The following is a 24,607-nucleotide window of genomic DNA, read 5'->3' on the forward strand; positions in this document are numbered from 1 at the left end:
GGCACAGTGCAGAAGACATTAGCAATACATATATCTGACAAAGACCCACTTGGAATATGTAAAGAATTAAAAATTAGTAAAACAGAGACAGACAAAACAATTTTAAATGATCAAAAAGCCTAGGCAACATACGGAGACTCTGCCTCTACAAAAATAAAAATAGAAAAATAAAAAAATTAACCAGGTATGGTGGCATGCTAGTGAGCCGTGATTGAGCCACTGCACTCTAGCATGGGTGACAGAGCAAAACCTTGTCTCAACCAATCAACAGGCAAAGGAATTCAAGAGGTACTTTAAAAAAAGAGGATATTTCTGAGGGTTCTGTTCTGTTACATTGGTCTATATCTCTGTTTTGGTACCACACATCTACAACCATCTGATGTTTGACAAACCTGAGAAAAACAAGAAAAGGGGAAAGGATTCCCTATTTAATAAATGGCACTGGGAAAACTGGCTAGCCATATGTAGAAAGCGGAAACTGGATCCCTTCCTTACACCTTATATAAAAATTAATTCAAGATGGATTACTTAAATGTTAGACCTAAAACCATAAAAACCCTAGAAGAAAACCTACACAATACCATTCAGGACATAGGCATGGGCAAGGACTTCATGTCTAAAACACCAAAAGCAATGGCAACAAAAGCCAAAATTGACAAATGGGATCTCATTAAACTAAAGAGCTTCTGCACAGCAAAAGAAACTACCATCAGAGTGAACAGGCAACCTACAGAGTGGGAGAAAATTTTTGCAATCTACTCATCTGACAAAGGGCTAATATCCAGAATCTACAAAGAACTCAAACAAACTTACAAGAAAAAAACAAACAACCCCATCAAAAAGTGGGCGAAGGATATGAACAGACACTTCTCAAAAGAAGACATTTATGCAGCCAACAGACACGTGAAAAAATGCTCATCATCACTGGCCATCAGAGAAATGTAAATCAAAACTACAATGAGATACCATCTCACACCAGTTAGAATGGCAATCATTAAAAAGTCAGGAAACAACAGGTGCTGGAGAGGATATGAAGAAATAGGAACACTTTTACACTGTTGGTGGGAGTGTAAACTAGTTCAACCATTGTGGAAGACAGTGTGGCAATTCCTCAAGGATCTAGAACTAGAAATACCATTTGACCCAGCCATCCCATTACTGGGTATATACCCAAAGGATTATAAATCATGCTGCTGTAAAGACACATGCACACGTATGTTTACTGTGGCACTATTCACAATAGCAAAAACTTGGAACCAACCCAAATGTCCATCAATGATAGACTGGATTAAGAAAATGTGGCACATATACACCATGGAATACTATGCAGCCATAAAAAGGATGAGTTCATGTCCTTTGTAGGGACATGGATGAAGCTGGAAACCATCATTCTCAGCAAATTATCGCAAGGACAAAAAACCAAACACCGCATGTTCTCACTCATAGGTGGGAATCGAAAAATGAGAACACTTGGACACAGGAAGGGGAACATCACACACCAGGGCCTGTTGTGGGGTGGGGGGAAGGGGGAGGGGGGAGGGAAAGCATTAGGAGATATACCTAATGTAAATGACGAGTTAACGGGTGCAGCACACCAACATGGCACATGTATACATATGTAACAAACCTGCATGTTGTGCACATGTACCCTAGAACTTAACGTATAATACTAATAAAAAAGAGGATAATAGTGCTTGCTTCAGCAGCACATATACAAAAATTGGAAAGATACAGAGTAGATTAGCATGGCCCCTGATCAAGAATGACACACAAATTTGTAAAGCATTCCATATTTTTTTTGTTTGTAACTCAAAGGGGAAGTGCTTGAGGGGATGGAAATACCTTATTCTCCATGATGTGCTTATTTCACATTGCATGCCTGTATCAAAACATCTCATGTACCCCACAAATATATACACCAACTATGTACCTACAAAAATTTAAAAAAATAAAGAGGATATCAAAATGGCCATCAAGCATAAAATTCTCAACATTATTAATCATCAGGATAATGGAAATTAAAATTACAATGATTTACCACTAGACACACCCTGAATTCATAAAAATGAAAAAAAAAAAAAAGACTGGCAATAACATGTGTTGACTAGGAAGTAGAGCAACTGAACTCTCATATACTTCTGTGACAGTGTTAATTACCACAACCACCATGGAAAGTTGTGTGGCAGCAACTCCTAAATCCACACATCTTAATGCCCTATTACCCAGCCATTGTACCTCTGGGAATATGCTCAAAAGAAATGAGTGCTTATGCCTACTACTAAAAGTTACAAACAAAAATGTTCCTGAGTTTCATTCATAATAAGCAAAAACTGGAAATAGTCTAAGTATCCACCCACAGAAGAATGAATAAATAAATTGTACTATAGTTATACAATGGAATACTAAGCTGTAATTAAAAACAAAACAAAACAAAGAAAAATACACATTAAACAGCATGGATAAATCTCATAACACAGAGTGAAAAAAGTCTAACTCCAGAAAATTATTCTGTGAAATTTCACTCACATGAAGTTCAAGATAGTCAAAACAAATCTACAGTGATGTAAGAATAGTGGTTACCTTTGTGACTGGTGTTGACTAGGAAAAGCATGGGAGAGACTTCTACATCTGGAACTGGTGGTAGTTATATGGATGTATATTAAAAAAATTCATTGAGCTATACAATTAAACTTTGTGTGTTTTACCATATGCTTATTTTGCATCAATAAAAGCATCTTTAAAAAGTGATGCACAAAAGTGATGCACTTTGCTCTAAGTGCCTTGTATTAAAATATGACATAATATTTGACCTCAGTCTACACCTCTTTCAGTTTGACTGTATAATCTTCTCATGAAACAGAGTGTGCAGTGAAAAGAAATGGCTCTCCTACGCAATTTCTAAGTGAATCTCGACCACTTTGTCATTGTACTGTGTTTTGTTTGAGGAACTTCAAGATCTTCTGTATTCCTGGAGTCCAGAGTGTCAGAGCTCCTGACTTAGCTCCTGGGGAGTTGGGGATGGTTCAGAAAGACCACCTCCCCCGCTCCCTAGGTGAAGGCTAGTTCTAGGTGTGTCTTGGACTCCCTTTCACTTTAGTCCTTTCTCCTCTCCAGAGTGGGTACATTTTCTCTCAGCTTCCAGAGGTTTAGTGTCTCCCTCCTTCTGCTAAAAGGTTTCCTCTACCCTTCCTTCTTCTGGTCCCATCCAGCCTGACCTTCTCTCACATGTACCATATTCTCGAAATACAGATGCTTCTCCACTCATGAGGGGGCTACGTCCCAATAAACCCATCATCAGTTGAAAATATTCTAAATTGAAAATGTGTTTAATACACCTAACTTACTGAACACCATACCTTAAACATGCTCAAAACACTTACACTAGCCTCGAATTGGGCAAAATCGTCTAACACAAAACCTATTAGGTAATAAAGTGTTGAATATCTCACATAATGTATTGAATATAGTACACTGTAGAATATTGGTTGTTCATCCTCATGTTTGCTTAGCTGGCTGGGAGCAGGGGCTCGCTGCGACTGACCAGCATCGTGAGAGTATTGTACTGCGTTATTATTGCTAGCCCCGGAAAAGATCAAAATTCAAAATTTGAAGTATGGTTCCTACTGGGTGTGTATTGCTTTTGTACCATCATAAAGTTGAAAAATTGTAAGCCAAACCATCCTAAGTTGAAGACCATCTGTACACTTCTTTGCAAAACCAATTCCTTCCATCCTTAGAAACTGCTGATTTCAGCAAGGAAAATCTTAAAATCTAAATTGCTCTTATGAACTCTAAACTGAATTTGCAATAATGACATGACATTTGATCCATTTAGTTAGGAATATTCATTGCAATAAGGCAATATTCATATTTTCAATGTTAACTCAACTTCTCATTTATTAAAAAAGATACTGAGGCCGGGCACAGTGGCTCACACGTGTAATCCCAGCACCTTGGGACGCGGAGGCTGGCGGATTGCGAGGTCAAGAGATGGAGACCATCCTGGCCAACATGGTGAAACCCCGTCTCTACTAAAAATACAAAAATTAGCTGGGGGTGCTGGTGCATGCCTGTAGTCCCAGCTACTCGGGAGGCTGAGGCAGGAGAATCACTTGAACCCAGGAGAAGGAGGTTGCAGTGAGCCGAGATAGCACCACTGCACTCCAGCCTGGCGACAGAGTGAGACGCCGTCTCAAAAAAAAAAAAAAAAAAAAAAGACACTGAGCCCTTGCTATATGCTGGGCTCTGTGTTAAGCAGTGGAAAACAAAGATGAATGCACTCAAAGAGCTCACAGTCTTATGCAGGAGGCAGGCAAATATGTAGACACATTAGTTCCAGTTATTTCCCATTATAATAACTTCCTACTGTAAATCACGTAGAGTTTATCAAACTCATCTTGTTGTCCCACCTCCCTCCCTAAACCTAATCTCCATTGTGCATCAATATCTGTGTCTATCTATGTCAATAACCCAGGATAAAACCCTCAGCCATCTCTTATTTTTCACTTTCTCACATTTACTCATTACATGTCAATTCTTTCACCAAATTCTCTCACAAGTCCAGAACATATTCTTCATTCCTATGCCACTTCCTAGATCAGAATCCTAATTTCCTTTTCCTTGCACTATGACAATAATGTTCAAACAGGTCTCCATGCCTCCAGTTGCACCACTGCTATTCTATACTCCACAGTGTTGCCAGAGAAGTCTCTGTCTCTATAGTTCTATGTCTCCACCTCTAGGAAGACTTCTTATTTGTTAGGAATACAAATGTAAGAATCCGAGGGAAAAGATTTGGTGAGTTGATGATTTGCTTAGCTACAGAGAGCCAATGAAATATTAATTATTTCTAACATAAATCTTGACATATAAATAATGGAAACCTGGTAAGCTGTGAAAGGCAGCTGTTTTTTTAAAAGTTTGATATGGTACAGATTATCTTCCCATTCCCGTATCTTTCTACTGAGGCAGAGGTCACAGATTAAACGATAGAAATCAGGCAGGTTCTTGATGTCACAGGCATTTACGAGGTTCTCATTTTTTAGGCGCCAACACAGATCTTGGCTACCTGCGTAACTTTACACCTCATTGTGCACTTAAAAGCCCACTGGAGGTGAGATCACTATGTTCTTGACAGAAGTAGCCAATCAGAGCATATGGTAATAGACAACTGGAAATTGACTATCTACTGAGCCATTGGCTGTGGATCCTCATTATTTATTATTATTATTATTATTATTATTATTGAGACAGGGCCTTGCTCTGTCACCCAGGCTGGAGTGCAGTGGTGCAATCGTAACTTGCTGTAACCTCAAACTCCAGGGCTTAAGTTATCCTACCACCTCAGCCACCCAAGTAGGTAGTACTACAGGTGTACGCACGCTACCATGCCCAACTAATTTTTTGTAGAGATAGGGTCTCACTATGTTGCCCAGTCTGGTCTTGAACTCCTGGCCTCAAGCAATCCTCCCACCTCAGCCTCCCAAAGTGCTGAGATTACAGACATGAGTCACCATGCCGGGCCTGGATCCTCATTATTGAAAGGGAGTGCGGGGAGAGTTAGATTTAAGTTGAGCAAATCTTTTGTCCCCAGGTCATCTCTAGGAAAGGCAGTAATGAAAGGTCAGAGGGTGCCTGGTGACTTGATGAAAAAACCAACATCCTCCCTGAGTCATGAACTTCTTGTTGGTAAATTAAAATGGATACATTTGAAGTTATTTGTTTGGACCCATTAAAGGAAGCTGTTCAATGCCTACAAATTAAATTTAGAGATCTACTAAGTTTAGATATCTGCTTGACCGTTGCTCCCTTCAGTCACAATTTTAAAGCTAAACATAAATTAATTTTGAACTGATTTGGATTATACTGACAAACTTGTTTTCAAGCAGATCTATTTATTTTTGCTCCCATTTTTATGCTTTTGCTTATTAAACCTACTTTAACAAAATTTATATTAAAATATGTTAGAGGCCTATTTAAGGTAAAAAGTCTTGTGAGCTGTCTCGGTTTTGATTAAGTATCTCTTTGAAAGTTTCCAAATCACAATGGGTTTAGAACAGTGTAGATGGCTTTCTTATAGGTCTTCATCTCCATGAAATGGGGACAAATAAACATTTTCTAAAAACTTAGTTGAAAGACACAATTATCCTACTTTTTATGTGATTATCTGCCCAAATTTTGCTTAACAACCACCATGATGCTCCTAGCCAATGAAGCAATAGATAGTGAAAATCAACAGCTGACTGTGAACACCTTCATGTCGTCTTTCTCTACCAGCATCTGTATCTCCCCACCCACTTCCTCAGTGGTACGGTTAGTTGTCACACTAGAGGCTGTAGAAATCTCATTTTTTTTTCCTGGCCACAGACTGCCCTCTGGGTTGGCAGCTTCTCTGCAAGCTTCTGTTACAGCTGTCAGGCCAGCAGATTCACATGCTGGGGTTTCCATGTCAGCTCCTGGACAGATTGGGTGGGTTTCTTCTGTAAGTACCCAGGATGACATGGGTCTTGGACTTGACTTTTCATCACATGAAATAGTTTCCCCTCACCTTGGTATATTACAGCTAATCTTGTTTGTTTGTTTGACATTCTGGCTCTGTCATCCAGGCTGGAGTACAGTGGCATGATCACGGGTCACTGCAGCCTCTGCCTTCTGGGTTCAAGTCAGCCTCCCACCTCACCCTCCCACGTAGCTGAGTCTACAGGCACACACCACCATGCCCAGCTAATTTTTTAATCTTTTTTGTAGAGATGGGGTCTCCTTATGTTGACCAGGCTGGAGGCTAACTTTTGTGTTATGGAAAATAAAATCCATCCAGTCTCTGGATGATTTGATGAGAGGGAGAACAGAGGTTAGAATGAGAAAAAAAAAACCAAAAAAACTCAGTGTCAGAATTCTCCAATATTCTTTTGCCTACAGCAGACAAGGGGTGGGTCTTCCTAGAGAGAAAATCAGCTCTGGATATTTTTCAATAAAAACATATTGAAACCTTTGATGGTTCCCTATTAAGTCCAAACTGCTTAGCATGGCATTCAAGATCTTCGCTTAAAGTGCCTCGCTTGTTTGTGAGATAGGAAATCTCATGTTGTCATGTTCTTGCTCTTGCTGTACCAGATACTCTTTTTCTTCTACTCCTCTTCAGAGAGTCCTGAACTATGCTTTTATAACCAACCCATGTGTTTCTAACTGTGAATTATGATTGCATATGCCTCTACCACGGTGCTTACCACACTACATCATAAATATTCATTTTCACTTTGTCTCCATTCTAGGTAGCAAACTCTTTCAACATAAGAATTTTATCTAAGCACTCTTCACTTTATGCCTTTGCCAGTCAACACTATCCTGATGTTAACATCCATATGATGTAATCAATATTCAGTCAACAAATATCTGGAGTAGATAGCCATTGTACCCCAAAGTAAATCATATGAGCCCTACTTTTAAGAAATCCAAGCTGTCACTGGAATAAAAATGATGTTTCATCATCCACAAAGTAATTATTGCATAAAGAAGCCCCATACTCTGGCATCCACTTTACAAAAATAAAAAATCAGGGAAAGGATGAATCGTCATGGACTCGAGTACTAAATTGTCAAAGAAGATTTAATCAAGAGGAAGATCAACCTAGGATAAAATAAAGGCTTGGAGGGATATGCACAAAATGACTCACGAATGAAATTTCAGGTGGTTGGAGTCTTCCGTTGATCATATTGGATTTCAACTTAGTGCGATATGCACAAATTGTGATGCACACCATCCACCTTCTGTTGATGATCCCATATTAGGCATCAAACAAAGTCTTGACAACTAATTCACATTTCGTCTTAAACAGCACTAACCTTTCGAAATATGAGTGTTATGATATTGACATCATGGTATTATCTTAAAGGGAGACAGATTTTGAGGGTGTGCGTTGGGGAATTGGGGAAATAACTGTGGAGTGCTTGACGAATTGACTGCTACCCATGTGTGGCAAAATGGCATGAATATTGATCCCTCAATTGAGAACTCCTTCAGAGTTAACACAGAGTGGCTACACATTCTTCTCAGGTCTCAGGTTGAGGTCATCTCTTTTTTTCTCTTTGTGTGTGGTGTATAGAGGGGAAGGAAGAGGAGGGAACTGAGAAAGCAACATGAGTTAGAAGAGAGGATCTGACAGACTCAGAGCAGCTCCGCGTTTCAAGCCACTTTTCTTTCCTCTTTGGTATTGCAAAATGTGTTTCTAATGCTTTACCTTGTCATTAAAAATCTCACTTCGTGGGATATTCAGAACTGAAAAGACATTTTTTACAGACTAAACAAGAAGGAACTCACTTATGGCTTGATTTTTGAGGTACTTTCAGCTCTAACATATTTTCGTTCAGCCATACCCAAATGACCCCTAAGAAATAGGCCATGGTGGTTCAGAGAGTAGAATATGTGAGGTGCAGGTGACACCCATGCCCCCTCACTCACTGAGTTTAAAACTCTCACTAATAGTCATTACCCTGGCTTGTGAAAAATACTGTATAGGCAGTGAGATTACTAACCACAGAGTTAACACCAAAACGCTGAGCAGAGCTTTCTAATTGATAGAGATTTTTTTATTTTTCTAATATCAGACAAGATGGCCTGTTCCCTCTACTTTCCTAACACTACGTTTTGAGGAATAGCCATAGAAGTTCCCATAATTTAAAAAGCAAAACATAGGAAGCATGAACTTTTTACAGTACCTCCTAACTGAAAGGCTGAGAAGCAATTAAATGTGAATTTTTTCGACTGTGAGCTTCATGACTTCCTCCATTTGTCTTCTTAATGCTTAAAATGTGATTGATAACATAGAGAGTGCTCTTTAAATATTTGCTGACTAAATAAAATTTGCTGCATGATATTTACAAAAGGCATACCCAGTAAAAAAAACACAGAAAGTGTAAAAATGAAGACATGAATTCATTTACCAGTTAGTAAATGATAATAAAAATAAAAGCATGCAATGAAATTTTAAAATAAAAAATAGTAAATGGGTCAAAGGAGGACGCTTTAGATGGACTTTTAAAAATGTCAATGCACAGGCATGGTGGTGCATGCCTGAAGTCCCAGCTACTTGGGAGGCTGAGGTGGGAGGATCACTTGGGCCCAGGAGTTCAAGTCCAGCCTGGGCAACACAGCAAGACCCCATCTCTGAAAAAAGAAAAGAAAAGGTCTCTTTTAAAAAGTTTCAATTCACCAGTAAGATGTTAACTTCTACTTGGGCTGCTTACAACATTGTATCAAAACACATAAAGCAAAAACTCCAAGAAGATTAGGAGAGGTGATAAATCCATGGTAATAGAAAAAGACTTTAACATGTCACTTTCCAAAAAAAAGGCGATGGAATTTTCTAACACATCTCCTTACTTCTTTCTTGACTCAAAACAGTTCATTTAACCGCCAGAATGAGCTTTTTAAGACAAAAATCAGTTCATGTCACTCCCTTGCTCAAACTCCTCAGTGGCTTCCCACCACACAATAAGTCTCAGATTTCTTATCCAGGTCCACAAGTTTCTTTATGAGACAGCCCCAGCTCATCTCTTTGACCTCATCACCCTTTTATTACTTCATGTTCTGGGTGCACTCTTACCAAAAAAACATAATTTGTCTTATAACTGAGGAGTTTTGTCAATTTAATATATATTATTTGGATTTTTTGACATTTTCGTGCTTTTAATTTCTTATGTAGTCTATTTCCACTTGTTTTAGTGGTCTTTTTGAAATTTTGCCAAGTATGCTTAGTTTCTGTGCTAATTAATTTCATTTAGGAATTCCTTCCTTGAAGGTATCTTTGAGGTGAAGTTTCAATCTTGTATAATAACTGGGAATAGAATTAGCTAATAGAATTAGCTGCGAATAGAATATTGATAGATAGTGTATTGAAGTTCTGTGAAGAAATTATTCTACCCTCTCCTCACTTGTTACTGTTTTGGCTTTCAGTCTATCTCCCTTTTTTTTTTTTTTTTTTTTGAGACAGAATCTTGGCCTGCCGCCCAGGCTGGAGTGCAGTGGCACAATCTCAGCTCACTGCAAGCTAGGGTTCCTGGGTTCACGCCATTCTCCTGCCTCAGCCTCCCAAGTAGCTTGGACTACAGGCACCTGCCACCACGCCAGCTAATTTTTTGTATTTTTTAGTAGAGACAGGGTTTCACCATGTAAGCCAGGATGGTCTCGATCTCCTGACCTCGTGATCCGCCCGCCTCGGCCTCCCAAAGTGCTGGGATTACAGGCATGAGCCACGGCGCTTGGCCTATCTCGCTTTTTTAAATAGATAATATATTTGTTATCCTCTGTTACTTTTAGAATATTTTCTTTCTAGTGTCCTGCAGTTCATTTGCTTTTTAAATTTATCATGCTGGGGACCCGTATTTCTAAAATCTAAGAATGCATGGAAGCCATCATGTGAGCTCCTACTTAAATTTTGTTTTACAGGTTTTTCTTAATTTTTGTTTCCGTGATTTCTTTTAATTTGTGGTGAGCTTATCTGTGCATTTAAAAGCCTGTTATAATTTATATCGCATTTCTATGTGTTTATAGTGGAATGGTTTTTTAATTTATCTAGCCAGAAATAGAATTCAAAACTGGAATAATGGATTACTTAGATATGAACAATGAGAGCACTACATATGAAAGCATACAAAATCACCTCTCAAAAATATCAAAAATTAAATGCATTTATTAAAAAAGGATGAAAATTAAGTATCTGAGTAAAGTTAGAAAAAATTAGAAAAATAATAAAAAGTAAAATGAGGAAATAAGGCAGATATACCACCAGATTGTATGATCCATGACCATAACAAGTGTAGATGAGAATATTGAGCCAGAACTCCAGCCCTATAAGGAAAGTGTAAATTGGTATAACCATTTTTAAAAAACAATTTGGCATTATGTAATATAATTAAAGATGTACATAGTGCATGATTCAGCAATTCCACTCCTAGGCATATATTCTAGAGAATTTCTTACATATGTGCCCCAAGGGACACACCATAAGAATGTTCACAGTAACGTTGTTTGCAATAGCAAAGAAATACAGGAAATAACGCAAATGCCCATCAACAGTAGAATGAATAAATTGTGATAATTCACACAATGGTATACTATGCAGCAATGAAAATGAATAAACTACTGCTACGCACATCTGTATGGATGAATGTCAGGAACCACGCTGAGTGAAGAAAGCAAGTTGCTGAAGTATAAATATAGTGTGATCTCACTCGTGGATTTAGCAGCTTTCAAACCTAGACACTTTATTGTTTAGGGATGCAAATGTATGTGGTAAAATGGCAACAAAAAGAAAAAAAATGACAAATGCAAATTTTGGGTCAGTGGTTGCTCCAGGCGGAAAGAGAGCAGAGTGGTGTCAGGGAGGAGGCACAAGAGGCTTCAAAGGTAATGGTAACATCTGGGTATAAAATGTCAACAACAGTTTGCAAAAGCCAGAATTCTCCGATGTTTTGTATTAGAAGGAATAGATGGGTACTAAATTCCTGTATCTTGGTTTCCTCAATTAGTATCATCTGAATGTCCCAGGTGAAGAAGCTAAGTCCTAGGGACAAGATTTGGACCTTTGAATGCAGGTTTCTCCATGTCGATCCAAGGGCAGCTGTGCTGTAGCCAACCCTGGGGACTAAAGCAAATTAGAGGTCTGTTTATTCTCTACACTTGTGGAGGTGTGTGTTATCTAGATTTACAACTATTCCTGAAGAGAAGACAGCATGAAACACGCCATTCATTCCACACTAAATTACAATTGGAACATAACTGAAGAGAAACGTTTCTTAAGAAACGAGGGACTTTCATTCTTCACATTAAATCCTTCTGTTCTCTTTGACTTTTCACTATAAGCAGAGCTTATATTCAGTGGGTATGCATCAGTAGGGCTAGTAAGTTGTTCGATCCTAATCTTTTCTGATTAGTTATTGCTCATACTGTCTTGGTTGTAAAATAGCTTCAACATCACTCCTAACTGCAAACAAAAACTGCAGGTTGGCCTAATACTTCTCCCGTATTGATAGAGCAATGTCTACAAATAGTTGAGAGAAAGAAAAAGTAAACCAAGAACTTTATAGCAAGTCAGGGTGTCCTTTACAGTACCAGATATTCTTAAGCATGAACGTCCTCAAAGATTACAGCATCATTGAGAGCTTCTTGAAAAACTACTTGATGAAATCTAGGCAATTCAGAATGAAGCAAAATTTGAAACCTCAGGAATGGAGAAGTAATGGTGAAAGAAGTGGTGATGAGCACTGAATCTACCTATACACAAAATTAAAGAAATGTGTGGAATTGCCATGATACAACAAGGATAATGTAACTAACAAAATATAAATGATGAAAATTGGCAGGTGGGGATGGGAACGAGAAGTGGAAGCAAATTTAAGAACGTTAATTTCTCCTCATATTTAATAGCATGGAGTGAACAGACAACTGCCTAGAAGTGAAATATGTGGTTTCTGTATCTCATCATCTCTTAATGGTTTTCTTTTTTTTTTTTTTTTGGAGACGGAGTCTCGCTCTGTCGCCCAGGCTGGAGTGCAGTGGCGTGATCTCGGCTCACTGCAAGCTCCGCCTCCCGGGTTCACGCAATTCTCCTTCCTCAGCCTCCCAAGTAGCTGAGACTGCAGGCGCCCGCCACCATGCCCGGCTAATTTTTTGTATTTTTAGTAGAGACGGGGTTTCACCGTGTTAGCCAGGATGGTCTCGATATCCTGACCTCGTGATCTGCCCACCTCGGCCTCCCAAAGTGCTGGGATTACAGGCGTGGGCCACTGCGCCTGGCGGTTTTCATAGTTTTAAAAATTAACTTGAGTGGAATTTCTTTTGGGAAAAAATATTTCTTATGGTAAGGAAACATTTAATATTTTAAAATAATATTTAATTGAATTCAAATAAAAATAAAATTTTATTTTAAAATATATATTAATAATATGGTTTCATTTTTTGATCCGATATTCCTATGTAGGTATTCATTTATTCATAAGTCACTTATTGAGCACCTAGTATGTGTCTAGGCACACTGTCCAGGCACTGGGGATATAGAAGTAAACCAAACAAAATCCCTCCCTTTATGAAGATGGTCTTCTAATGGCAAGAAAAAGGCAAGTAAATATAGAGGAGGTCAGAGGTTTATAAAAGCTATGGAGGAAAATAATGTAAGGTAAGAGATATGGAGTGTTCCTGGTGTGTGTGTGGGTGGGTGGGGGCAGGGGATGGGAGCAGCAGTAGTAATTCCACCTTCCATCTGCATATATACATGTATAAGGGGATGTCTGGAATGACACCTATCAAATATTAATATGTTTATTTCCAGGCCATAGATTTTTTATTTTTTCATACTTTCTTCTTTGCACTTTTTGTGTTGCTTTAATTTTAAAAAATTATGAATATGCACTATTTTTATTTTTCTTAAGTCATTCTATCTGAGGGAGAAAGACAAAAAGGAAGGTGAATAAGGAAAAGGGTTTTGCAACAGTAAGTCCAATAATAATGATTCAGAAATCATGCTTCTAGATATTTATCCAAATGAGTTGAAAACTTACTCCTACACAAAATCGCATATGAATGCTAGTAGCAGCTTTATTCATAATAGCCAAAAATGAATAAACAAACTAGGGTACATCTGTACAAAAGAATATTATTCAGCAGCAAAAAGAAATGAGCTATTAAGCCATGCAAAGACACAAAGGAACCTTAAAAACATATTGCCAAGTGAAAGAAGCCAGTCTAAGAAGGCCACGGCCTATATGATTCCAATTACATGACAGTCTAGAAAAGGCAAACTGTAAAGTGGGGCTCATACAACACAGTCTACCACCATTCACACCTGAGCAATCCTTCCAAAGTCTAAGGTTGGGCCAATCCAACCTGCTGCTACAACCACAGCTGGCACCCACCCACATGTGCTACCTATAGGCCTGGGGACTGGCCCTCCCAGCCCATCACAACTACTTCCAACATCAGCATAGCCTGCATGGGAGCAAATGGTTGTCCCATCACTGCTACTGCCATTGCCCATGCCATACTGCCTGCCCGGGGGTCCAAGAACCCACACACCTGCCTGGCCTACTGTTGCTATATCCAGCACTTACGAAAGCCACCTAGAGGCTTAATATTTGGCCCACCTGGACTTGCTAACACTGGTGCCAGCATACTCCACACTGGGTCCCAAGGACAGACATGGTCAGCCCACTGCTGCCACCCCTGGGGCCTAAATACTGGCCCACCTGGTGTCCTAGTCCCCAGAAAAACTTCAACACAGCCTCCACTAACAAATGCACCCTAAGCCATCAAGGAAATCATAGACACCACTGATGTTGTTTATAGCCAAAGAAATTACACAGAGACTACACTACTGTACACACTCAGAATCAAAGCCAAAGTATACTACCCAATCAAGATCATAGGACAAAAGGCAAGTCTCAAAAATTGTTCTAAAAATCAAAATTATATCAGATATCTTCTTAGACCACAATAGAATAAAACCAGAAATCAACAACAAAAGGCACTTTGGAAACTGTACAAATGCATGAAAATTAAACATGCTGCTACTGGATAATCATTGCATCAAGGAAGAAATTGAGGAAATAAAAAAATTCCTTGAAACAAATGAAAATTGAAACAACATATCCAAATCTATGAAAAAGCAGTGCTAAAAGGGAGGTTCATAGAAATAAACACCTACATAAAAAGATAAAAAAGTCAAATAAACAATCTAATCATGCACCTCAAGTAACTAGAAAAGCAAGAAAAAAAAACCGAAATTAGTGGAAGGAAAGAATTAATAAAGATCAGAGCAGAATAAAATGGAGACTAAAAAAAGATACAAAGGATCAACAAAATGAAAAACTAGTTGTTTTGAAAAGATAAAATCAATAAACAACTTGCTAGACTAACCATAAAAAAGAGAGATGACCCAAATAAATAAAATCAGAAATGAAAAAGGAGACATTACAACTGACATCACGAAAATATAAAAGATCATCAGAGACAATTATGAAAAATACACTAACAAGCTGGAAAACCTAGAAGAAATGGATAAATTCCTGGACTCATGCAACCTAGCAAGATTGAATCAGGAAAAAAGCCCAAAAAGACCTGAACAGACTAATAATGAGTAAGGAGATTGAATTAGTAAGTCTTCTGACAAAGTCCAGGACTGGATGACTTTACTGTCGAATTCTTTGTTGTTGTTGTTGTTATTGTTTTTGTTTGTTTGTTTGAGATGGAGTCTCACTCTGTCGCCCAGGCTGGAGTGCAGTGGCGTGATCTCAGCTCACTGCAACCTCCGCCTCCCAGGCTCAAGTGATTCTCCTCCTCATGAGTAGCTGGGACTACAGGTGATCACCACCACGCCCAGCTAATTTTTTGTATTTTTAGTAGAGACAGGGTTTCACCATGTTGGCTGCACTGGTCTCAAACTCCTGACCTCAGGTGGTCACCTGCCTCAGCTTCCCAAAGTGCTGGGATTACAGGCATGTGCCAACACACTTGACCTTTACTGCCAAATTCTATCAAACTTTCATAGAAGAACTAACACCAATTCTCCTCAAATTATTCCAAAAAATTGAAGAGGAAGAAATTCTCCCTAGCTCGTTCTATGCCAGCACTACCCTGGTACCAAAACCAGACAAGGACACAACACAAAGAGACAACTACAGGCCAATATCCCTGATGAATACTGATGCAAAATTTGTCAACAAAATACTAGCAAATCAAATCCAACAGCATCTCAGAAAAAAAAAAAAAAAAACCAAAAAACAAAAAACCAATGTGATCAAGTGGGATTTATCCCAGGGATGCAAGGATGGTTCAACATATGCAAATCAGTAAACATGATAAATCACATCAGCAGAATGAAGAACAAAAATCATATGACCATCTCAATAGATATAGAAAAAGCATTTGGTGAAATTCAATGTCCTTCATGACCAAAACTCTCAACAAATGAGGCATAGAAGGAATATACTTCAACATAAAAAGGCCATACATGACAAACCTACAGCTAACATCATACTGAATAAGAAAAAGCTGAAAGTCTTTTCTCTGAGAGCTCTGAGAGCTGGAACAAGACAAGGATGAACATTTTTCAACTACTCCTATTCAACATATTGCTGGGAGTCATAGCCAGAGCTATTAAGCCAGAGAAGGACATAAAAGGCACCCAAACTGGAAAAGAGGATGTCAAATTGTCTTTCTTGGCCAGGAGCTGTGGCTTACGCTTGTAATCCCAGCACCTTGGGAGGCCAAGACCGGCAGATCATTTGAGGTCAGGAGTTCGAGACCAGCCTGGTCAACACAGTGAAACCCCATCTCTGCTAAAAATACAAAAATTAGCTGGGTGTGGTGGCATGTGCCTGTATCCCAGCTACTCAGGAGGCTGATGCAGGAGAATTGCTTGAACCTGGGAGGCGCAGGTTGCAGTGGGCCAAGATCACACCACTGAACTCTATCTAGTCTGGGTGACAGAGTGAGACTCTGTATCAAAAAAGAAAAATTTGTCCTTCTTTGCTGATGATATGATTTTATACTAGAAAATCCTAAAGAGTCCACCAAAAATCTCCTAGGTCTGATAAATAGGTTCAGTAAAGTTGCAGGATACAAAATTAACATACAAAAATCAGTAGCATTTCCATACAATGAAAATGAATTAGCTGAGAAAGAAATCAAGAAGACAATCTCATTTATAATACCTATAAAAAATAAAATACTTGGGAATAAATTTAACGAAGAAAGTGAAAGATCTCTACAAGGAAAACTACAAAACACTGATTAAAAAAATTGAAGAGGGCCAGGTGCGGTGTGGCTCATGTCTGTAATCCCAGGACTTTGGGAGGCCAAGGTGGGCGGATCACCTGAGGTCAGGAGTCTGAGACCAACCTGGCCAACGTGGTGAAACCCCGTCTCTAGTAAAAATACAAACATTAGCCAGGCATGGTGGCACACGCCTGTAGTCCCAGCTACTCTTCTCGGGAGGCTGAGGCAGGAGAAATGCAGAGGTTGCAGTGAGCTGAGATTGTGCCAAGGCACTCCAGCCTGGGCAACAAACAAGGCTCCATCTCAAAAAAAAGAAAAAAAATTGAAGAGGACACAAACAAATGGAAAGACATCTCTATGTTCATGGATTGGAAGAATTAATATCATTAAAATGATCATACTGCCCAAAGCAATCTACAGAATCAAAGCAATCCCTATTAAAATACCAATGTCGTTTTTCACAGAAATAGAAAAAACAAAATAGTAAAATAGAAAAAAAATTTGTATGGTACCAAAAAGAGCCTGAAGAGCCAAAGCAATCTGAGCAAAAAGAACAAAGCTGGAAGCATCATACTACCTGACTTCAAAGTATATTATAAGACTATAGTAACCAAAACAGCATGTTACTGGTATAAAAACAGACACATAGACCAATGGAACAGAATAGAGAACCCAGAAATAAATCCACATATTTACAGCCAACTAATTTTTGACAAAGGTGCCAGGAACCTACACTCGGGCAAAAACATCCTCTTCAATAAATCGTGGTGGGATATCCCTACACCGAAGAATAGAACTGGACCCTATCTCTCACCATATATAAAAATCAACTCAAGATGGATTAAAGATTTAAATGTAACACCTAAAATTATAAACTGCTACAAGATAACATAAGGAAAATGCTTCAGGACATTGGTCTAGGCAAAGATTTTATGCTTATGACCTCAAATGCACAGAAAACAAAAACAAAAATAGATAAATAGAACTACATTAAACTAAAAAGCTTCTGCACAGCAAAGGAAACAATCAGCAGAGTGAAGAGACAATCTGCTGAATGGGAGAAAATATTTGCAAACTATTCATCTGACAAAAGGCTAATATCCAGACTATAAAAGGAACTCAAACTATTCAACAGTAAAAACCAAATAATCCCATTAAAAAGTGGGCAAAAATATGAATAGACATTTCTCAAAAAAAACTAAATCCAAACCCAGCATAACACAAGAAATAACAAAGATCAGAGAACTAAATAAAATCAAAACAAAAAAATACAAAAGATAAATGAAACAAAAAGCATGTTATTTGAAAAGATAATATTGATAGACCATTAGTGAGATTAACCAAAAAAAGAAGAGAGAAGATCCAAATAAGATTTCATTTCGCATCGAGAAATGAAACTACAGCCAATACCGCAGAAATACAAAAGATTAGCTAAGGCTATTATGAACACTTTTATGTGCACAAACTAGGAAATCTAGAGGAGATAGATAAATTCCTGGAAATATAAAACCCTCCTAAATTAAATCAGGAAGAAACAGAAACCCTGAACAGACCAATAGCAAGCAGCAAAATTGAATCAGTAGTTTAAAAAAAATTGCCAACCAAAAAAGTCCAGGACCAGATGGATTCACAGCTGAATTCTATCAGACATTCAAAGAAGAATTGGTACCAGTCCCACTGAAACTATTGCAAAAGATAGTGAAAGAGGGAATTCTCTCTAAATCATTCCATGAAGCCAGTATCACCCTAATACCAAAACCAGGAAAGGGCATAACAAGAAAACTACCGGACCAATAGCTCTGATGAACATAGATGCAAAAATCCTCAACAAAATGCTAGCTAACAAAATCCAACAGCATATCAAAAAGATAATACATCATGATCAAATGGGTTTATATTAGGAATACAGGGATAGTTTAACACACGCAAAGTCAATAAATATGATACATTACATAAACAGAATTAGAAACAAAACCATATGATCATCTCAATAGGTGCAGAAAAAGTCTTTGATAAAATCCAGCATCCCTTTATGATAAAAAACCCTCAACAAAATAGGCATAAAACGAACTTAAAATAATAAAAGCCATATATGACAAACCTACAGCCAACATTATACTGAATGGGGAAGAGTTGAAAGCATTCCCCCCGAGAGCTGGAACAAGGCAAGAGTGCCCACTTTCCCCACTTCTAATCAACATAGTACTGGAAGTCCTGGCCAGAGCAATCGACAAGAGAAAGAAATACAAGGCATCCAAATTGGAAAAGAAGAAGTCAAATTGTCACTGTTTGCTGATGATATAATCGTATACCTAGAAAACTCTAAAGACTCATCCAGGAAGCTCTTAACTCTGATAAAGGAATTCAGTAAACTCTCAGGATACGAAATCAATGTACGCAAATCAGTAGCTCTGATATACTCCAACAACGACCAAGCTGAGAATCAAATCAATAACTCAATCCCTTTTACAATAGCTGCAAAAAAGAAAGAAAGAAATACTTGGGAATATACCTATCCAAGGGGGTGAAAGATCTCTACAAAGAAAACTGCAAAATACTGCTGAAAGAAAGCATATATAACATGAACAAATGGAAACACATTTCATGCTCATGAATGGGAAGAATCAATATTGTGAAAATGACCACTCTGCCCAAATCAGTCTACAGATTCAATGCAATTTCCATCAAAATACCATCATCATTCTTCATAGATTTAGAAAAAACAATCCTAAAATTCATATGAAACCAAAAAACAACCTGCATAGCCAAAGCAATACTAAGCAAAAAGAACAAATCTGGAGACATCATATTACCCAACTTCAAATTATATTAGAAGGCTATAGTTACCAAAACAGCATGGTACTGGCATAAAAGTAGGCAGGTAGACAAATGGAACAGAATAGAGAACCCAGAAACAAAGGCAAATATTTACAGCCAACTGATCTTCGACAAAGCATGCAAAAATATAAATCAGGGAAAAGACACCCTATTCAATATATGGGCTGGGAAAACTGGCAAGCCACATGTAGAAGAATGAAACTGATTTCTCAGCCTATACAAAAATCAACTCAACATGGATCAAAGATTTAAATCTAAGACCTGAAGCCATAAAAATTCTAGAACATAACATTGGAAAAATACTTCTAGGCATTGGCTTAGGCAAAGAATTCATGGCTAAGACCCCACAAGCAAATGCAACAAAAACAAAGATAAATAGATGGGACCTAATTAACTAAAAAGCTTCTGCACAGCAAAAGAAATAATCAGCCAAGTAAACAGACAACCCACAGCGTGGGAGAAAATATTTGCAAGCTATGTATCTGACAAAGGACTAATATCCATAATCTGCAAGGAACTCAAACAAATCAGCAAAAAAACTAATAATAATCCCATCAAAAAGCGGGCAAAGGACTTGAATACACAATTCTCAAAAGAAGATATACAGTCAACAAACATGTAAAAATGCTCAACATCACTAATTGTCAGTAAAATACAAATTAAAAACCACAATGAGATACCACCTTACTCCTGCGAGAATGGCCATAATGAAAAAGTCAAAAACCAATAGACGCTGGCATGGATGTAGTGAAAAGGGAACACTGTTAGACTGCTGATGGGAATGTAAACTAGTACAACCACCATGGAAAACAGTATGGAGATTCCTCAAAGAAAAGCAGAACTGCTATTTAATCCAGCAATCCCACTACTGGGTATCTACCCAAAGGAAAAGAAATCATTATATAAAAAATACACACGCACAACCATGTTTATAGCAGTACAATTCACAATTGCAAAGATAAGGAACCAACCTAAGTGTCCATCAACCAATGAGTAGATAAAGAAAATGTGGTATATATACACTATGGAATACTACTCAGCCATAAAAAGGAATGAAATAATGTCTTTTGCAGCAACCTGGATAAAACTGGAGGGCATTATTCTAAGTGAAGTAACTCATAAATGGAAAACCAAATATCATATGTTCTCACAAGTGGGAGCTAAGCTATGAGGATGCAAAGGCATAAGAGTGATATAACGGACTTTGGGGACTTGTGGGGGAAGGTTGGGAGCGGGGGGTGAGGGATAAAAGACTACATATTGAGTGCAGTGTACACTGCTCAGGTGACAGGTGCACTAAAATTTTAGAAGTCACCACTAAAGAACTTATCCATGTAACCAAAAACCACCTGTACCCCAAAAACTACTGAAATAAAAAGAATTTAAAAATTTAAAAGACATACAAATAGTCAACAGATATAAGAAAAAATGCTCAACATCACTAATCAGGAAAATGCAAATTGAAACCACAATAAGATATCATCTTACCCCCGTTAAAATGGTTATTTTATACATACATGTATATATATATCATATATATACATATACATATGTATATCACATACATACATATACATATGTATATCACATATATACATATGTATATCACATACATACATATACATATGTATATCACATATATACATACACATATGTATATCACATATACATATATGATATATATATTTTTATATATACCATATATGATATATATACATATACATATATATGTGTATATATACACACACACATATATATATATATGATTATATATATATATTTTTGAGACAGAGTCTTGCTGTGTTGTCCAGGCTGGAGTGCAGTGGCACTATCTCGGCTCACTGCAGCCTCCATCTCCCGGGTTCAAGGGATTCTCCTGCCTCAGCCTCCTGAGTAGCTGGGATTACAGGCGTGCATCATCACATCTGGCTAATTTTTGTATTGTTAGTAGAGACAGGGTTTTGCCATGATGGCCAGGCTGGTCTCAAACTCCTGACCTCAGTACTGGAATTACAGGTGTGAGCTACCACGCCCAGCCTAGAATGGCTATTTTTAAAAAGACAAAAAATGACATGCTGGTGACAATGTAGAGAAAAAGGAAGTCTGTACACTGTTGGTAGGAATGTAAATTAATACAACCAGTATGGAAATGTCTCAAAAAACTAAAAATATAACTACTATAGGCTCCAGCAATCCCACTACTAGGTATTTATCCAAAGGAAAAAAAATTAGAATATAAAAGAGATGCCTGCACTTGCATGTTTATTGCAGGACTATTCACAATAACAAAGATTTGGAATCAACCTAAGTGTCCATTGATGGAAGAATGGATAAAGAAAATAAAGAAAATAGATATATATATATACACACACACACACATGCATACACACATATAATAGAATACTATTTGGCCATAAAAAGAATAAAATCATGTCATTTGCAGCAACACGGATCGTACAAGATGTCATTATGTTAAATAAAATAAGCCAGGCACAGAAAGACAAATATCGCATGTTCTCACTCATATGTGGGAGCTAAAGAAGTGGATCTCATGGAGGTAAAGAGTAGAATATAGATACCAGAGGCTGGGAAGGGTGGGTGGATGGAGGGAAATGAAAAGAGCCTGGTTAATGGGTACAAACATACAGTTAAATAGAAGGATTAAGTTCTAACATTCTATAGCAGGGTTAATATAGTTAACAACAATGTAATGTATATTTCAGAGTAGCTAGAAGAATGGGTTTGAAATGTTTCCAACATAGAAATGATAAATTCAAAGATGATGAATAATCCAAATACCCTGACTTAATCATTACACATTCTATGCATGGAATAAAATATTTCATGTACCCCATAAATATGTAAAGTATTGTATATCAATAAAAAAAGAATTATCACATGGGAGAAAAATCCAGAGAGTGAAAAGATCGGTAGTGTTCAGGGGCTCCGTGGGAAGCGAGAGAAGGATGAATATTGGAGAGGACAGGAGATTTTCAGGGGCCATGAAACTCTCTAGTATGATATTGTAATGGTAGATATATGACATTATGCATTGTCAAAACCCATAAAATTATACAACACAAGGAGTGAATCTTAATGTAGTCTTGAAATGTAAGTTAATAATAATGTATCAATATTATTTCGTCAACTGTCACAAATGTATGCTACCAATGCAAGACATGAATAATAGGTGAAACTGGGATGTGGAGCTGGGAAGGAAGTATATGAGAACTTCACTTTCTGCTCAATTTTTCTGTAAACCTAAAACTACTCTTAAAAATAAACTGCACTAATTTTTTTAAGGTCCATTAATTTTCTTAAAGCAAAGCATTCTTGAATTATCTGGGGCAGATATTTATTTTTAGCAAACCTTTAGCAAAAGACTATGGTTCTTGCTGCAGGTTTTAGAATCAATTATCTCCATACTCCTAACATTTCTGTGAGGAAAGTACCAGTGTGATTGCCCCTTACACTGCTGAGGAAACTGAGGCCAGAGTGTGTGAATATCTTACTCAGGGCCACATTGCAAGTGGCAGGGCCAGGATTCAAGTAACCCTTGCTCCTGGGTGTGAGTCTGCCTCCCCTTAAATAGGCCAAGGGCTGCTGAACGATGGTGTTTATTGCTTCCACCTTGGAGCTTCTTGAATTTGCCATCGGGAAACTGGTTTTGTTTTGTCCTTTATAGCAAGCCATTCCAAACTGTTATTGGAAGTAGGTGTAATATAAATAATAAAATACTGAAACTAGAGATCTCAGCTGTTCTATAAAGAACCAAAATAAATCTACCTTATACATCCCTTAGTTCCCCAGGTATCATATTGTTTACTCCTTTTTGCTGTAATTGTCAACATGGTTTGTATTTAAAATCCCAGAGGATGAAAATATTTAAACCAGATAAGCACAGCGTCAACAGCCTTTTGATAGGGAATTTTTTTTTTCTTTTTTGTGGGGAAGAGAGGATCTTATTTTTTAAAAAAGACTCATCATACCACCCTTCCCCGCAAAAAACACACACAACTTAATGGGATTATAGTAGGTTAAAAAGAAGCATAAAACTCAGGTTTGTTTAGGTGTAAAACCATAGCTGACAATGATTTTTACTACTAGCTTCTGTGTTGTTAATACAAATGCCCAGTAAGCACAATTTATAAATTGATATATATGGAAGCACAAGAAAGAGCAAGTGTTTTTTTCAACTCAAATATCTTAATTCACCAAATTGTTTTTTGAATTCCTAGTGTGCACTAGAACCATATTGAGTACTGAGGGTGAGGGAGGGGGGTCAGAAAAGGAGATCAGCCTTTTACCCTCAAGGACCTTGTGACCTGGTTTGACACACATGCAACACAGATGAAAGGGACAGAAGGAGATGCTGCTTACCTTGTAGTTGTTGCTGGAGGGCTGGAGGATGAGAACACAGACTAAAGCATGTGGTGAAGGTTTTCTTGTTGCACTGGAACCTACATAGATTCTTTAGGGATGGATGGGAACTAGACTGGTGGAAGAGGGATGGAAGAGCATTCCTGGCCATAGGACCGTCATGGACAAGGCTGAGTCATTCAAGAGTGTGTGTGACGTGTTCAGGAACAAGTAGTAGATCTATTTTTCTGAGGTAGGGATGTGGAGGAGCTCAAGGAAGATTGTTGGGAAAGGTCTAAAGAGGAAAGATGCTAGAGGGCCAATTAACACATGCAGATGAGTTTGTGCTCGAGCTGAAGCGTGACTGGGGGTAACTGCAGGTTTTTGAGCAGTGGCGTAGTGAAATAGAAGTGATGGTTTAACAAGGTTCGTCTGATACAACTGGCCAGAGGAGAAGCTTCCCTCACAATCTTATCCTCCAGCCCACAAAAGATGGGTTGTTTTCTTACCCCTGATTTACACTGAGAAAATCCTGCTATTTTACCTACCAACAATAAGAATCATTTATTGAATGCCTACATCTTGCCAGAAGAAAAGCTCCAGACTTCCTCACAATTCCAAAAGGTAGATAATAATTATCTTT

The 24,607-nt window shown here is 37.9% G+C and overlaps 1 protein-coding gene and 1 pseudogene across 5 annotated transcripts in view, besides 2 other annotated features; one reads left to right on the forward strand and one right to left on the reverse strand.

Moving 5' to 3' along the window:
- STAT4 (signal transducer and activator of transcription 4) overlaps positions 1-24,607 on the reverse strand; it is a 122,021-nt gene that overhangs the window by 90,684 nt on the left and 6,730 nt on the right. The window lies entirely within an intron of this gene.
- RNU6-959P (RNA, U6 small nuclear 959, pseudogene) lies at positions 1,691-1,797 on the forward strand (annotated as a pseudogene).
- Positions 8,029-8,188: a silencer, noted in NCBI's record as "silent region_12193". NCBI's record gives its function as "represses an Ori minimal core promoter by ATAC-STARR-seq in GM12878 lymphoblastoid cells {active_cell/tissue: GM12878}" and the evidence as "EXISTENCE:reporter gene assay evidence [ECO:0000049][PMID:35858748]".
- Positions 13,549-14,049: an enhancer, noted in NCBI's record as "H3K27ac hESC enhancer chr2:191998534-191999034 (GRCh37/hg19 assembly coordinates)". NCBI's record gives its function as "activates a minimal SCP1, AML or CMV promoter by ChIP-STARR-seq in primed H9 embryonic stem cells {active_cell/tissue: H9 hESC(primed)}" and the evidence as "EXISTENCE:reporter gene assay evidence [ECO:0000049][PMID:30033119]".

Source organism: Homo sapiens, chromosome 2 (genome assembly GCF_000001405.40).
Source record: "Homo sapiens chromosome 2, GRCh38.p14 Primary Assembly".
Lineage (NCBI taxonomy): Eukaryota > Metazoa > Chordata > Mammalia > Primates > Hominidae > Homo > Homo sapiens.